General features: G+C 46.3%; 1 protein-coding gene across 6 annotated transcripts in view, besides 1 other annotated feature; it reads left to right on the top strand.

The window, feature by feature from the left end:
- RPS6KA2 (ribosomal protein S6 kinase A2) overlaps positions 1–16,646 on the top strand; it is a 453,410-nt gene that overhangs the window by 135,774 nt on the left and 300,990 nt on the right. The window lies entirely within an intron of this gene.
- Positions 8,165–8,459: a silencer, noted in NCBI's record as "tiled region #5298; HepG2 Repressive non-DNase unmatched - State 21:Repr". NCBI's record gives its function as "represses a minimal TATA promoter and a strong SV40 promoter by Sharpr-MPRA in HepG2 cells {active_cell/tissue: HepG2}" and the evidence as "EXISTENCE:reporter gene assay evidence [ECO:0000049][PMID:27701403]".

Genomic DNA, 16,646 nt, shown 5'->3' with positions numbered 1-16,646 from the left:
GAGGAACACCTAGATACCTGGGAATGGCCATGTCTTCATGAGTGCAAGTGGGAAATTCTTCACGGAAATCAGGTTTGGCTTACGTGGTGGAGGAGACAGCACCCAGGACGGTAGATTCCAGGCCTGGGATTCCTCCCCACCCGCCAGACACACTCCCTGAGACCCGTCACCTCCCTGGTGGAGGGGTTTCATCTGCCAAACACTCCTCACCTAGAGTTGTTGCCGTGTTCAGTTTTAAAGCTTTGACAAGAATTCACAGAAGCTTATGGAAACCGGTATCGCAACTGAAGTTGTAAGAGTCACTTTCCAATGCTGCCAGCAGCATCAGTACACGAGATCCAGTTCTCTGTTTAAGGTGATCATGTTTATGTGATTTAAGGTGATCACGGTTATATATTTTGGATCAGTTGGTGAGTCACTTCAGAAACGTCTTAAGTTCTTCATGCAAGGGACGTGTGTCTGACATGGGCGGCAGGATGCATGTCCTTCTTTCATTTCCCTTCCATGTCTCTGACTTGGGGAATGATCATTGGTGACAGAAGCCTCTGCTACAGGGTCTGGGCTCTCGGGAGGTGACTAAGAGTTTGCTAAGTGTTGTGTCAACTTGCTGCTTGCAGCTCTAGGAATCGGAGGTGGAATGGAACTTTCCCCCAGTGGAGTTTAGCCCTTTCCCCAGGATTGCTACTTCTTTATCTTCCACATCTACTTGCAAGCCGTCAGCCTCTGGTCTGTCCTTGTCCTAGGTACTGTCTGCTTTTCAGTTTATTCTTCTACCACATCAGATGGCCGTGGCTAGGACTTTGCTTATAAATAGTAGATTTATCAAAGTAGTTATGTGAAGTAAGATTTTAAACTAAAAAAAAAAAAAAATCTTCTATATTGTAGCCTAAGGGCATTTCTGTAGGACCTAAAAGCCACGTGTTTTCACAGAATCATAAAGGTTCACAGCACATTCTTACATCTTACTCTTGGCCTGAAAACAATCTTTTCTGATCAGCTTCTGGGGCGTGGCTGTTTCAAATTCAGCATGGTGCTATTTAGTAAATCTGTCGGTTCCCCAAAAGCTGCCTCTGTGAGCTCCTCTCAAAGCTGGGGAATCACAAGTGATGCGCCCTCTGCCTCCTCCCCACCCCTCAGCTGACACTGCTTTCCCTCTGGGCCTGCGCCGCCAGGAGCCTCCCTGCCCGGCATACCTGGAGCCAGTCTCTGTGCTGTGGGGCAGGTCGGGAACGTCCACGCTGGCCCGAGGAAGCTGTGCAAGCAGAAACTCGGAGCTTCACTCTCGTCCCCAGCATCTGAAGAGAAGGCAGGTGGAGTGAGGGTCTCCCCGTGGGCCCACCCCACCCCCCACTGGCTCACCCAGCTCCTTGTCCTTTCACACTCCTTTGGTTCCGTGTGTGCGCCCCACCTCCTCCACCTCCCTTCGAGGCACCCACAGAGGTGGCTCCCAGGGATGCTCCCCCTGACTGCCTGGAGCTGTCCACCTGCTGTGGGCTCTCGGAGGCTGGAGAAAGAGGCTGGGCTGGGCTAGGAGGCTGAAGGGGAGGGTGAGGGGTGGCGACCAGAGGCACCTGGTAGACCAGTTTCCTTCTGTCATGTGCCTACCTAGTCTCTGTCATTATAATATTTACATTTTGTTCCCAAATGGAATTTTTAAAGAGAAAAACACCATGTGACATAATCTGTGAGGATTTAATACAGAGCTAAGGTTGTTTTCAAGGAGAAAGAAAACTGAGACATTTTTAAATATGAGAAAAATCAGATAATGGAGTGACATAAAAACATAAGCCTTTCTTTAAAAAAAATAAAAGACTTTTTTTTACTCAGTCCAGGAAACCAAGGGATAAATGGAAAAACCATGAAAAATAGAAAAAGTCTATTTGAATATAAAACTAAAGCCAAAGAACGTGGGATTATTCTTTGGCATTTTTGCTCTCAGAAGAGAACATAACAAAAGCTAGAACAGTGGAAGATGAGGTGAGAAGAGTCTGTTTTCATTTCCTCAACTCTCTGAGCAGAGAGTTAGTAGAGAGCATTTCAACTTGAGAAGTCGAATACAAAGGTATTGAATGGGTGGAAAAACTAAGTATTATAATCTAATAAACCAAAAATGCAAGTGGAGAGGAGGGGAGGGCGTGAGCTAACTTGTTTATCTTTCAGACTAGGCTATGACAGGAGTCTGTGTAAAGCTGATGAATCAAGAAATAGATGTTTGTCTTGATCATAAAACTCTTAAATTAAAACCAGTTGCAGATGGTCCACGTTAAAAGAATAGGAACCTGCACCCTCAGCATAGGACTAGGAAACCAGGCCAAATGGCCACAGATTAGAAACAGGCGGCAGGAAAACCAGGACCTGTGCGGTGACGTATGGTGACAAAGCTGAGGCCGTGGCCGTGTCACAAAGCATAAGTGGGGTGAGCACACCTCACAAAGTTCTCAGATGGCGGGAAGAAGCAAAAATGACCCACTTGGATTAAGAAATGCACCTTAAATAATGTGTCTGTGAAAGAGTAACTCAAAAAGTCTGGTATAAAAGGATTTTGGTGTTTTTTTTTTTAATATCAGTTTTCAATATGAATAACAAGCAAGGTTAAATTCAACAAAGAAATGTTAAGGGCCCTTAGAATAATGATAAAGGCACAGTCTACAACAAAGAGCTAGCTGCCGTGGACCTCCATAAATCAAGTAACAGCGTCAAAATTTATGAAGCAAAAACTGCAGAAAATACAAGAAGAAAAAGTATTACAAAGTTAGGAAACTTTAACTCATTGCTGTTAGGATACCACAAATCAGAGGCAAATATATTTATATACACACACACATACACACTTAATATAGCATATTTGATATACTCATACATACATATGTCCATACATGTGCATGTGTATGACATATATGCAGAGAAAGAGAGAAATCCACACCCTGAAAATAGATTATACTTACCTTTTAAGTGTCCATGAAACATATTACAAAAACATACTTTAAGTTATGACTCAGGGGCCAGGCACAGTGGCTCACACCTGTAATCTCAGCACTGTGGGAGGCTGAGAAGAGTGGATCACCTGAGGTCAGGAGTTCGAGGCCAGCCTGGCCAACATGGAGAAACCCCATCTCTACTAAAAATACAAAAATTAGCTGGGCGTGGTGGCGCGTGCCTGTAATCCCAGCTACTCAGGAGGCTGAGGCAGGAGAATCGCTTGAACCGGGAGGCAGAGGTAGTAGTGAGCCAAGATCGCGCCATTGCACTCCAGCCTGGGCGACAGAATGAGACTCCATCTCAAAAAAAAAAAAAAGAAAAGAAAAGAAAAAAAGAAAAAGGAAATTATGACTCAGGGAAAAATTCGGTCATTTCCTAACTATAGAGTTAGTTCGGACTTTATTTTCTAATCACAGTGCACCCAACTGAGAAACAGTGCCCTCGCTTCTGTTTGTATTTACGTATTGTTATTAGATCCTGGCTGCCACTTTGATGTACTGGCACGGCCTTCCTGGTACTACTGGGGGTCCCCTGGCACCAGCTGAGGAAGGCGGTGCATACATGTGGGACCCCCCTGGGGTGAAGAAGGTAGTGCACACGTGTGGGACCCCCCAGGGGTAAGGAAGGCGGTGCACACGTGTGGGACCCCCCTGGGGTGAGGAAGGCAGTGCATTCATGTTCTGTCGCTCCCACACCATCTGGGGGGCCTAGGCCACCTTCTTCACTGCGGCACCTCAGCTGGTCCTTAAAAGTTAGTGCTTTACTTTCCAGAAGGGGGGACTTGAGCAAGAGGCTGGGCACTGAGCCAGGATGGCAGGGCTAGGAAACGTTCGAGGCAGGGGCAACCCAAGCCTGCCAGCCCCAGCCCAGCCTTCCCACCAGGCGGGGGTCCATTTAAGGTACATCTGCCCTGACTTGTTGACAACTTTACTTGGGCCTTACTCCAACAGTATTCTGGGCTCTTTTACTGTAGTCTCCACAGAGCTTTTTCTCTAAGTCCTTGCAGCGCCCCAAACCTTGCATCGCTTAACGGTTGTCATAGTCGCCAAGTGTAGGCACAGACAGACCTTGGAGGCGGTGGTGTCTCGCGAGTTGTGATGAGTCCTGTGGACTCGGAGAGGGAGCTGTGCAAAGAGTAACCGAAATTACTCCAGAAATGCAGAGAGGAATGGGCTGAAAATGCAGCGATTGAAGCTCATGGAAACTGAAGTGTCACTGGAGGTAAAGTCTAAGTAGTAGACTGAAGGACGAATCTCAAAAAGGGAGGCATTTGCTTCACGTGGAGAAGCACGTGTATCAAGCGTTTCAGAGAATGGGATTGGAGAATTCAACAGCTCCGCATCCACAACAAGCTCGGGCAGCCCCATCAGAAAGGTGTCCTGGCTCTTCTTTTTACAGAACTCCAGGGATAGGCTAGTGAGGGTCACGGACCCAAAGCCAGGTGGACATTCCACTCCCATTGCAGCCACCAGTCTTGGAAGTGCCACCCCAGCCTCTGTGGCTGTGGGCCCTGTGGGTTCCACGTGGCGTGGGCCACGGTGATTTTAGAACCAGGATGGACTGTCCTCACAACCGAAAGAGGGAAAATACAATAAGATAAGGGGAGCCCTCTGTGCCTCCCACCCCCTGCGGCTCCTCCATTTTTCCATCACTTTCACCTGCTTTGTTGAGTGTCTGACCCGCCTTACAAAACGCTTTTCCACTCTAAGCGTCTTCAGCTTCTCCTTCTGTGTGTGGGATCTCCAGTCTCCAAGCTCACGTTCCAGCATGGTTTTGAATTGGGGCAGAATCATGCAGGGGTTGGAACACAGGGCTGGAATTTAGGATGGATGATTGGACCTTCTGAGTCACACTCCACTTTCTTCACCAACTCCTAAAATGCAAACTGCTTTTACCTACTGAGTTATTCTGCTTATATTTCTAATTTTTCTGATTGTATTATATTCTGATTATATTTTGGTTCTGGTTATATTTTCCTACTGTATTTATATTTACTCCACTATGACATTCCAAATAAAGTGGACTATTTTAATGAGTCTATATGTGTGAAATGTGTACCTAAACATTTTGCACAAATGGTGGTATCCCTGCCGGCGAGGAAGCATGATAGGAATCAGGCTATTTTTGAGTCAGAGGATCTGGATCCGGGGCCGAGGCTGGCACCGGCTCCTCCTCTGAGCTGGCACCGGCTCCTCCTCTGAGCTGGCACCTCCTGGGGGAAGCAGCTGAGCTGATGAGCGAGGTTGCAAGGTGGGGCGGGAGCTTCTGTTAAAGTCCAGCTCTGCTAACTCTGCCGCCCGCCCACTGGGTGAAATGCTCCTGAAGCAGCTGTGCATCTTTCCCGTCCCCGAGACTCGGTCTTAGAAGGAGGGGCCCAGACGCAGACCCACTGCGATCACCCAGCACTGCCCGGAAAGCTGCCTAGCTTTACGAAGCTCTAGCATGTTCATCTGTGATTTTGTTCGTGAAACTAGAAAGTTTCTGTTAAGAAAGAGCCATTTGGAAAGCTTGATCTTCTAGAAGTTTTAAAATTCTTTTACTAGGCACCATCTGGTAAAATCTCTGGCAAGGGAGGGATGTGGCAATGGAGGGGGTTCAGCTGTGGCTGTGGCCACGTCAGGACCCAGTGTCTGGGCTAGGCCTGTGCTCCCGGGTCCTGGCCGTCAGATGAATTCTAAGTGTTGTCAGATGTAACTTTGCCTCTCCGGTATTTTCCCTCTCTTGTTGGAGGCTGCAGTCTTTTGAGGAAACCCATCCAAGCAGAGGAGACCCTCAGTCGCACCCCCGATGTCCCCCGCCTTTCCACCTTTCCTGTGTTATTTGTCCTTATCCATAGATGTTTTGATGTTAAACCATTTCATTAGACACACCAATCTGAGTGACAGATTTCAAGTAGGGATCCTCGTGAAATTGTTAAGAAATTAGTCACCTTGTAAAGTAACGATGGAGCACTTGCTTGTGTGAACTCAGGTGTTAAGAGGTACACAGACTAGTGGGGTCATTTCCATTTCCTGTGAAGTGTATGTAAGATGACTTTTAACTGTGAAATCACCCTTTAGTGTTAAACATGCAGCTTCTCAAAGCGTCTTCTCCTCAACTATCTGAGATTAAACACAGGAGCTCATCCCTGCTTCGTGGGAGGTTCTAGGCTCCCTGTGATTTAGTGGCAGCTAGGCAGGTACGGCCTTGCTGCTCTGCACAAATCAAACTCGCTGTGCCGGAGTTTCCTTCTGAGTAAAATAAGGGTGATTGGAATGGGCTACTCTGTCCATAATGAGGATATGATATGAATGTAAAATGCGAGGCACAAACTAGACATTTAATACACAGAGGTCATTTTTCTTATGACCAAGTATTTCCCTTTATTTAGAGTTAGAAATATGTTCAAACTATCTCAAAAAGTGAATTATTTAGTGCTAGTTTCTCATACAAGGACTTCCTAGATTCTTTGATAATGCCTTTCTTTCTCTTACACTTTTATTTTTGGGGAGAGATTTCTAGGTGGTGACTGACAGCTCCGTTTCTGCAGTCAGAGAGCCTTGGATTTTCATCTGGGTTCCTGGGTTCCTTTGGGGAAAAGAAGTGCATTGCAGATATTCTGTGTTCAATATCACCCATCCATTCTTTTATTTAGGTGACATATTTCTCCATTTATTATAATGATTAGAAACCTGTTCTTTGTAGTGAGCTTAGAAGATGAATAATGTAATTAATATGATGTTCCCAACTTATGAGTTTATAAATAGTGCATTCCAAGCACATAAGAGGAGCTCACTAAATGGTAGTTATTGTTGTATAGGGTTCACCAAAATTTGAATACTTATTACCTAAAATAAAATAGGAATAGGAATTTAATACAAAGATGCCCACTTTACAATGTTTTGTTGTTTAAAAGTGTGCCTTGAATTATTTCAATGAGGAATCCTTACATAAGTGAAAGTCTTATTAATAGTAATTATAAGAAATAGCACTCAGGGTATTTTGGGGCTTGAAGATTTCTGAATTGGGAATTTAAGCCAGCTAAAGGTTTAGAGTTAACTTCTTTCTCCCACATATCTCAAAGCTGCCACTCTTTCAGAAATTTGCCATGAAATTCCTTCTGGAAACTGTGGTTGAAAGTTGGCACATAGCATTTGCAAATTATAATATGAACATTCTTTATAAGATCTCCCAGATATACTCTAATCAGCATAACTAGGATGATGCTTGTTGGGATCAATGCAAGACTGATGATCATGCTCCCTTGCAGTTCCTGAGCCGAAAGTAGTCGGCTTTCAGTCTGAAACTAGTGAGATTGACTATCCCTCCGTTGATGAACGTTTTAATGATAAGTGAGTAGAGTTGGAGATGCATTCATTTAATCATTCCTTTGACATTTAATAATACATGATCAAACACTGAGTTAGTTTCAGAGTATCCATTGTGGGGTTTAAGAAGACCATGCAAAATAGATGTATTTTCATAGATACATCGTCACAGACATGTGTTGTTCAAAGGCAGTTAAAATGGCAGAGAAGGAGAGATTGCAGGTTACTTGTCTTTCCAAACAAGCTTAAATTCATTTAAAGCTCTCATTGATATCAAACCTTGCATACATTCTGGCTATGTGAGCTAGGGATGATTTTTACATATTTTAACAGTTGGAAAAAAGTCAAAAGAAGATTTCATGATGCATAAAAATTGTATGAAATTCAAATCTCAATGTCCATAAATAAGCATTTGTGGAAACCTATTCTTTGTAGTGAGCTTGGAAGATGAATAATGTAATTAACATTATGTTCCCAACCTGAGAGTTTATAAATAGTGCATTCCAAGCACATAAGAGGAGCTCACTAAATGGTAGCAATGTCCAATACGCATTCTAAGAACGCAGCCATGCACATTCATTTACGTGTTGTCTGTGGCAGTTTCCCCTGTAAAGACAGGGTTGAGCAGGCGTGACAGAGGTTGTGTGGCCCCAAAAATGTTTGCTACCTGTACATGTAGAGAAAAGTTTGCCGGCTGGTGCCAAGTATATTGGCCTTGTTGTCAAAGTCAATAACCTTTAAATGTTAATGTTTTTAATCCTTACTCATATATGCCTGTATACAGACACACAAATAAGAAAAAATCTAATGGTTAGACTTTTAACCTAATTAGCCTGTTCCACCCCTCTCTAGGTTCATGAAAAAGCAAAAGAGCTGTTCGGTGTGTTTAGAAATATTGGGATCTCACTTTTCATTAAGTTAAGGTCAGTTATTGAGACATAACCGATCTGAAAGTCCTGCCAAGTTTATGTCACCTCTGTGCACATGTGCGGGGCAGCTATCTTACACCAGCGGGTGAGATTTACAGATACGTCTGTATTGAAGTATGTGCTACTTTCTCGGGTGCATGTCCTCATTAATTCATGTTTGGGGGCCAAGTTATTTTAACCACTTTAAAGAGAATGTGTACAAATACTCGTGTCTTGTATTTTCAGATACGGTTGCATTTTATTGTATGATAAAAAAGTCAATATGTATTGGTTTAGATTTTGATATGGCCTTACAACTATTACTTTTCTTCAAACGAACATGGAATGCTTAGTCTTTTTAAGGGGAAAATGATCTCCAAAGCCTTTTCTGCCTTCCTGATGGATTAGTTTAGGGGTGCCTTGGAAACTCAAACAGCCTCACATAAGGCTGAGCATTATTTCCTACATCGGCACTGTGGGGACTAACCTCCCCCCATGCCAGCCTCTGATAACTGCTATCTGCCAGTCTGCATGGTGCCCTGTGCTAGATAAGACCTTCCCTAGTTCCCTTTGTGCCTGGAGCTCAGAAAGCTACTTAAGGGGAAGTGAGGGTAAATGTGCACAGTTGCTTTTGCCTTCATAGAAAAATGACAAATAGGGCCGGGCACAGTGGTTCACGCCTGTAATCCCAGCACTTTGGGAGGCCGAGGTGGGTGGATCACCAGAGGTCAGGAGTTTGAGGCTAGCCTGGCCAACATGGCAAAACCTGTCTCTACTAAAAATACAAAAATTAGCTGGGCGTGGTAGCGGGCACCTGTAATCCCAGCTACGTGGGAGGCTGACGCAGGAGAATCGCCTGAACCAGGAGGTGGAGGTTACAGTTAGCTGAGATCGTGCCATTGCACTCCAGCCTGGGCAACAAGAGCAAAAACTCCGTCTAAAAAAAAAAAAGAAAGAAAAGAAGAAAAAAGAAAAATGACAAATAATAAAACAATCATCGGCGAAAAATCTATAACAAATGGGCTTGCCTCAAGTACAGTTAATTGTGAGAGGCACCCCTGGTAAAATTTCTGGGTCATTTCAGCATGCTGACCTGTGTTTCTGGTGCACTCTGGATCTTAGAGAGATATGCACTACCACTGGAATCTAAAACTCGCCCTGGATGGAACGTGTGCTGTGCACCCCACTCCCTTCCAACCCCACGCTGCTCCAACTTCACCCGCGGGATCTGTCACTGCCAGTGGTCTGCTGAGCTCTTCCCTGTTAACATCCCAGTTTCCTTGGAACCCCAGCTCTCCTCACCTGGCTCCCACTTGCAAAATTCCCTGGCCTTCTTCCCATTCTCAGGGTGGCAGAGCAGAGCTGGGAGAGACTCCTGGTGCCAGTGTGTGCCCAGCGCCAGCCTCTTTGGCAACCATTCCTCCAGGCTGTGGCTGGTCTTTGGTTCCTGTTCTCTTCCATCTCCTACAGCGCACCTGGGCCATTCTGCAGCTCTCTGTTGCGGGGAATACACAGCAATGATCCCAGATGTTCACTGTTTTTGGTAACCTCTTTGCAATGCTCTGCTCCTTGTTCCCAGCAATGGCGATGCCTCCACCCCCTTGCAAAACCTGAGCCTCAGACGAACTCAGACTCCTCTTCCTTACCTGCTAGTTGCCCACAGACACACTCCACCTCCTTCCCTCTGTTGCAGAGGTGAGCGCGTGGCCTCCACTCGCAGCCTGTGTCCTGATCTCCCTCCCACATGTGTCCCAGCAGCCCATTCTCCATCCTCACTCCCTGCTCCTTCTGGCTCCGGATCCTCCTACACAGCCATGAGCAAGGTCCTTGTTCTCTTCCTCATTTGTGTGAGTTCTGTACGTGGAGCACTGATGCTTTGCATGCATGTCGCAAAACCTTTTTTTTGCAGTTTATTTAAATTTCGGTTACAGTGTTTTGACATCCGAAAGTTTTAAATTTAGTCATGCTTTACACTTGGAAAAGTTGTATCCATCAAAAGATGGCATAAATGATCACCCTTACTTTATTCTGGTACTTCCGTGTTAAATTTTCACGTTTGCTTTTGTCTTTTCTGACATTTTAGGTTGTGAGGTATATAATGAGGGATTTAACTATTTTTCCAAATGAATAATTTGTTATTACAACCCCCCTTTTCCATTCTGACTTCACAAATCACGATGTCTTAACCTCTTACATATGCAGCCGTGCAGTGCAGAGGGACGTTTTGGTCGCCAGCAGACCGCACATCTGAAGGTGGTCCCATAAGAGTATAATACGGTATTTTACCTGTGCAGCAGGTCCTCAAATGACGTCGTTTCATTCAATGTCATTTCGATACAGTGATGATGTGAAAAAGAATTGATGCCCGCTGGGATGATGTCCTGGCCAGGATGGGGGCTGCCTCGCAGGACAGGCTGAGCTGCCGGGACAGGCTCCGGCAACTCGAGACCCTGGCCTGGAGTCGGTGGGAAATCATCGTCCTATTTGTTTTTCTGTTTTTCTTAAATGTCCGCATAGCTTACATTTATTTCCATGTTCAATATTAGAAGCGGTTTGGTCTTTATTTAGAGGCTTGGTGACGGTTTTGTGGCTTGAAATATGCTGCAGGAATTTAACTCTTGTTGACATCAGTTAACCTGTGATAAAACTGGTTTAGTTATATGTCATTTTGCTTCAAGTCTGTTTCCAAAACCTTACAATGACTTGAAGTGAGGACTTACAGCTTTTCTTTCTTTCTTTCCTTCTTTTTTTTTTTTTTTTTTTTTTTTTTGATGGAGTCTCACTCTGTCAGCCAGGCTGTAGTGCAGTGGTGCAGTCTCGGCTCACTGCAACCTCCACCTCCAGGGCTCAAGCGATTCTTTTGCCTCAGCCTCCCAAGTAGCTGGGATTACAGGCATGCGTCTCCATGCCCAGCTAATTTTTGTATTTTTAGTAGAGACGGGGTTTCACCATGTTGCCCGGGCTGGTCTTGAACTCCTGACCTCAGATGATCCGCCTGCCTCGGCCTCCCAAAGTGCTGGGATTACAGGCGTGAGCCACCATGCCTGGCCCAGCTTTTCTATGTTTGGATACACGACCAGGAAGCTGCAGCTGCCTCCAGTGTTCAGCGCAGCCGTGTGTGTGCAGGCTCCGGCCTAGGAGCCATGGGCTACACCAGATAGCCTCGGTGTGTGCCAGGGCACTCTGTCATGTTCTCACAACAACAAAATCACCTAATGACGCCTTTCTCAGAACGTATCCCCGTTGTTAAGTGATGCACGGCTGTGCTTGCATCTGTTGTTGGATTTTTCTGTTCCATTAATTTGCCTTTTTGTGCTATTATTAATATCGTATTTTAGTATTTGCTAGGATAAGCTGTCTCTCATTCCTCTTCTCACCCAGCATTTTTTGGCTATCCCCACAATTTTGTCTCCTGGATAAGTTTACTCCTTTTTAAGAGGCAGCTGGCAGGAAGCCTGGTCAGACTAATTCAAGTGCCCCATGCAGGGAGAAGGCCCGGCTTCTATGGTGGCAGCTACCGTCCATGCCTCCCATTTGAAGACGCAGCTCCTTCTGCAGCGGAGTCACTAACTGACCCAGCCAAGTTGGAGGGAAGCCACCAGGAGGGGCTGTGCTGGGCTTGCTTCCCGCCTCGGGCTGCCTGGAGGGGTGCTCTGCAGTCTCTGGGGCCTCCCAGTGCTCCACCTGCCCACCCTCCACTGCCTTTCCTTTCTCACGTCTGCAAGGCAGAAGGCTTTGGTGAGGTTTGCTCCTCAGCCCCCTGCTTTGGATGTGTTGGTGTTTGGAGAGGGAGTTTCCTCAGGGTGAGCTGAAGAAGGAGCACAGGCCGGACGGGAAGGGAGGGTGCCCAGTACAGCCTGAGGCCTGGCCTGCAGCAGAGAGAACAGACCAGAATACGGGCCCAGCACAGGCTGCCAAAGCCAACTTGCATTTCTGACAAAAATTTGCCTGGGACCTGGTATTGGTGTCCTGGGGCTGTGGTAAACAAAGTTCCACAAACTGTGTGGCCAAGCAAGGGACTCTGTTCTCTCCCATCCAGAGGCTGGAAGTCCGAGTTGGAGGTGTGGCAGAGTGGGCTCCTGCTGAGGCGGGGAGGGACAGCCTGTTCCAGGCCCTTCTCTTTGCTTCTGGTGCTTCAGGCGGTTCGGGTGCTCCTTGGCTTGTGGACGCATTGCCCCGCCTCTGCCTCTGTCTCCAGGTGGCTGTCTTCCCTCTGTGCGTCTCTGTCTCTCCTCCTTTAGGGACACCAGTCAGGCACAGTTAGGGCTCACCCCAGTGACCTTGTCTTAATTTGCTAATATTGGCATATACCCTATTTCCAGATGAGGTCACATCACATTCACAGTTCCAGAGGTTAGGACATCAACGCATCTTTTTGAGGGTATACAATTCAACCATAAGGAACCAGTAAATAACTATTTTCTTTCACCTCCTACTGCCTCCATCTCACAGCTGTCTCTTCCCAGGACCCGAAACAAGAGCACCAGGGCTCAGCTCTGAGTCAAATGCCTTTTCTGTGTTTCTCATGAGAACCCAAGCACAATTCAAGCTGTTGTCTCTGTGTGAGAATGTGTTCTGTGTTTCAAACCAGTAGCACAGAAAGAACACTGGCCTGCACCTCTTCCCATCCCCACAGCGTGCTGGGGGTAACCCTGCCTGATACCCTGTGGGCTGGGATTAGGCTCGAAGTCACAGGAAGGAATAATTCATCACTGATGGCTGGCCAGGAGATGGACATGGTTGGAACAGGGTGTGGGGAAGCCTAACCCAACTGGGCTGTTGGCATAAACCCATAGGGAAAGGCGGGATCAGGGAGGCCATTGTGGAAGCTGAGGTATGAAGCACTGGGACTTGGAACTGGGTGATGGCAGCAGCGATAGGTTAACGTGGGTGACAGGGTGTGGTGACCGCTGACTATGAGGGGCGCACTAACAAGCCTGTCAGCTTCCTCCACGACGGAACTTCACACCATGACCCCAGTCGTCTCTGCAGATAACGTGGCCAGTGCTGACCCCAGGACATCACAGGCAGCACTTTCCTCCTCTGCTTCCCTCCGGATATTTCACAAAGCGCAGTTTTGTGTTTTTTACTTGCTAGAATAATAAAGCTGAATAAATGGCTGCATTAGGCAGGAATGGTTTTGCTTCCAGAACACATAAATCGTGCATCTGTGTTTGTTCTTCATGTGTTTTCAGCCAGTCATGGATATTTCTATTCTTTATTTTCTCTCCATATCATGCGTGAATGTTTTTGTATTTCTCCCCAGGGCTGTGACCCAGATATCTACGCACTGGTCCTTTAAAAGGAGAACAGAGAAAAAATCAGTAGCTGTGTCCTATAATTTTTGTGCACTGTCTATCTGCATAGATATCCCACCAACTGTTCACAACAATCTGCTCTTTCTTCTCCCTCACAATTCCTTAAATTTACTTTTCTCTCATTTTATTTAATCAAGCATGACTTTATTAAAACAAAACAAAACAAAACAAAATGAAAACCCCTCCCACCTCCTCCGGTGTGAAAACCCGGCTATGGGCCTGGCGCCAGTCTTCTGATACCCGGAGATCCAAGTGGCTGTGGGTCACCCTGGAGCTGGGTTTCCTCCGCCCTGAAAAGAGAGAAAGTGAGTTGTGTTCCGGGGGATGGGGAAGAGCTCTGCAGTGGGAAGGCACAGGTGGCCTGGCAGAGGAGGTCATGGAAGCTCATCAGAAACTGACCTTGGGAAGAAGCATGGGGAAGGACGCCACCTCCAGGGACAGACGTGTCATTTCCAGGGGTCACAACCCTGTTCTCCTGATCTGTGCCTGTGCTTTTTGGCTTCATTTCTAATGAGGCTGTCGGGAACCCAGAGCTTCACAGAGTGGTCTCCCTGTGCTCCCACCCAGGGGAGAGAGAGCGAGACATGAGGCACAGGCAGTGTTGAGCAAGTAGCACTAAGGAAGAGAAAGCTCGGGATAGACGCTGTGTTTCAGCAGCTCCTCGGGTGCTGTCTGCTTATCCATTGACCACGTGGCAACATCTAGAAGGGGGCGCCGGGAAGGCAGAACCCTGTGACCTCAATGTATGTTCCAGACATCGAGGGACACAGCCCACCTGTGGGCCTCGGTGGGACATCACACATCAAGAGATAGTGCAGGGGAACTGTGACCTCATCATGGCGTGAGAGGCTCACACTACTTCTGCAGGTGCATGGCACTCTCCCCAGGCTGCCACAGCCCGTCCGTGCGTCTCTTTCTAACCCCACACTGCATGCTTGGCCCAGATACTGAGTTATAGCAAGAACCCTCACAGATACTTGTTAGATAATGAAAGGAATAGCTGCAAAGCCTGCTAAGCCTTCCTGAAGGCTGTTAACTCTTGACTCCAGATCCTTAGTCGTCCTCTGTTTTGACGAGTGTTATCTCATTGGCAATGTCAAGAAAAAAACCATCTGTACTCAGCACAGTGTTTAGAGCTGGACCAGAGGGGCCCCTGCCCTGACGCTGAGCATTTGAGAGCTCCTTCTGCCTGCTGCTGGCCTTGCCCTCACCACCAGATGAGAGTCTTTGAAGGTCAGGTGATGTGCCTATCCACAGTTTGCACCCTTCCCTCCAAAAACATTCTCCAGGTACCTGGGCTGCCAGAATTTCCTCCCCCAGTGACCCTGAGCCTCTTTTTGAAACCCATGTGGACCTCTTACCTAGGTCCAGCCACTCCTGAGCAGGCTGCACCAGCAGGGTGGGCATCCCTACGTACATTCTGTCTGATTTATCAAATCCATGTGTATAGAGGTGTTCACAGTGTGCCCTTATTATCCTTGCCAAGTCTGCAGGATCTGTAATGATTCTCTGTTTCATTCCTGATACTGGTAATATATGAACTTGTATCTCCTCTCTCTCTCTCTGTCAATCAGTCTTGCAAGAGATTTGTCAATTTTATTGGTCTTGTTTTTTTTTAATCAGCTCATTGTTTCATGGGTTTTTTCTGTTGTTTTTGTTTGCAGTTTCATGGATTTCTCCTCTGTCTCTCTCTCTCTCTCTCTTTCTTTCTTCACTTCCTTTTATTTATTTATGTTCTTTCTTATGCTTGCTTTGGGTTTATGCTGCTCTTATTTCTCTGGGTTTTGAGGTGAGAACATCTGTTGCTTCATCCTTCATTTCACTGTTTCTTTCCTTTGTTCCCTCGACTCAGCTATTAAGCCCAGTCTGTGCACTTTTCATTTTGGTTTTGTATTTTTCATGTCTAAAACTTCCATTTGGTTCTTCTTTATATCTCCCATTCCTTAGCTGAGGCTCTGTTTCTCCATTGGTTTTAGGCTGGTTTGTGATTGCTTGTTGAAGCATTTTTATCATGGCTGCTTTGAAATCTTTGTCAGATATATCTAACATTCTGTCATCTTGGTTTGGCATCTTTTTTTTTTCTGTTTGAGATCTTCCTGGTTCTTTGTGTAATTAGTGATTTTTTTTTAAATTGGAACCTAGACTTTTGGGGCACTATGTTATGAGACTCTGGATCTTATATAAGCTTTCTGTTTTAACAGACTGGGTCTCACGTGACTCCAACCTAGGAAGTGGGGGCACCACCTCATTACTGCAATGAAGGAAGTTGTGGGGCTATTCCTGCTTTGTGGGGGTGGAGGCTCCAGCTCCCTCTGTGGCCTCCACTAATCCCAAGAAGACTTATGGCCTTGTTACCCCTGGGCAGTGGTCAGAGTCCTCAGTGTCCTCCACCACCACCAGTGGACACCACCCCTGGGGGGATGTTGGGGCACCTCCTTACAGACTAATGAGGGTGGAATTCTAGGCCACCCACACAGCCTTTACTGGCATGGGTGAAGGTGGGGCCAAGGTTTTTCTGTGTTGTTTGGCTAAAGTAGAGCAGTTATCATCTAAGAGTTTTCTGCCCCCTTCCCTGGTCCTGTGGCTAGAGGCTTTTGTTGGGATTTTATTTTGTCTGTGCCTGCTGGAATTCCTGGGTTGCTGATTTATTTGGCTTCAGGTCTAGTACACATGAGGCAAAGGAAAACCCAGGGAATTCTCCACCAGCTTGCTCCTCAAGTCCTGAGGCCCTTAGCTATCCTGACTTCTTCTCTCCTCCTGTCAGAGTCATCTTCCAGGAAGTGTCCAGGGTTTCCAACTGTACTTAGTGGGAAGAATAGGGAAATACATGCCTAGTCCATCTTCCTGGAAGAGAAGAAGGATGCATAACACATGCACCTCCAGGATGTAATCAAAAGAGATAGTATTTGATGGCATAGACACACACACAGACACACAATGCAAACACACATACACACCACACATAACACACACACACCACACACACACACACACACACACACTCACACAACACATACCATACACATATACCCCACAAACACCGTACACATACACACACACACTCGTGCATGCATATATACATATTTTACAAAAAAATATATCAAAGAGTACAGAACAAAGTACATTATGGTGGG

The sequence above is a fragment of the Homo sapiens genome, chromosome 6 (genome assembly GCF_000001405.40).
Source record: "Homo sapiens chromosome 6, GRCh38.p14 Primary Assembly".
Lineage (NCBI taxonomy): Eukaryota > Metazoa > Chordata > Mammalia > Primates > Hominidae > Homo > Homo sapiens.
The sequence above is the reverse complement of the archived record's forward strand: the minus strand, read 5'-3'. Positions and strand labels throughout refer to the sequence as shown.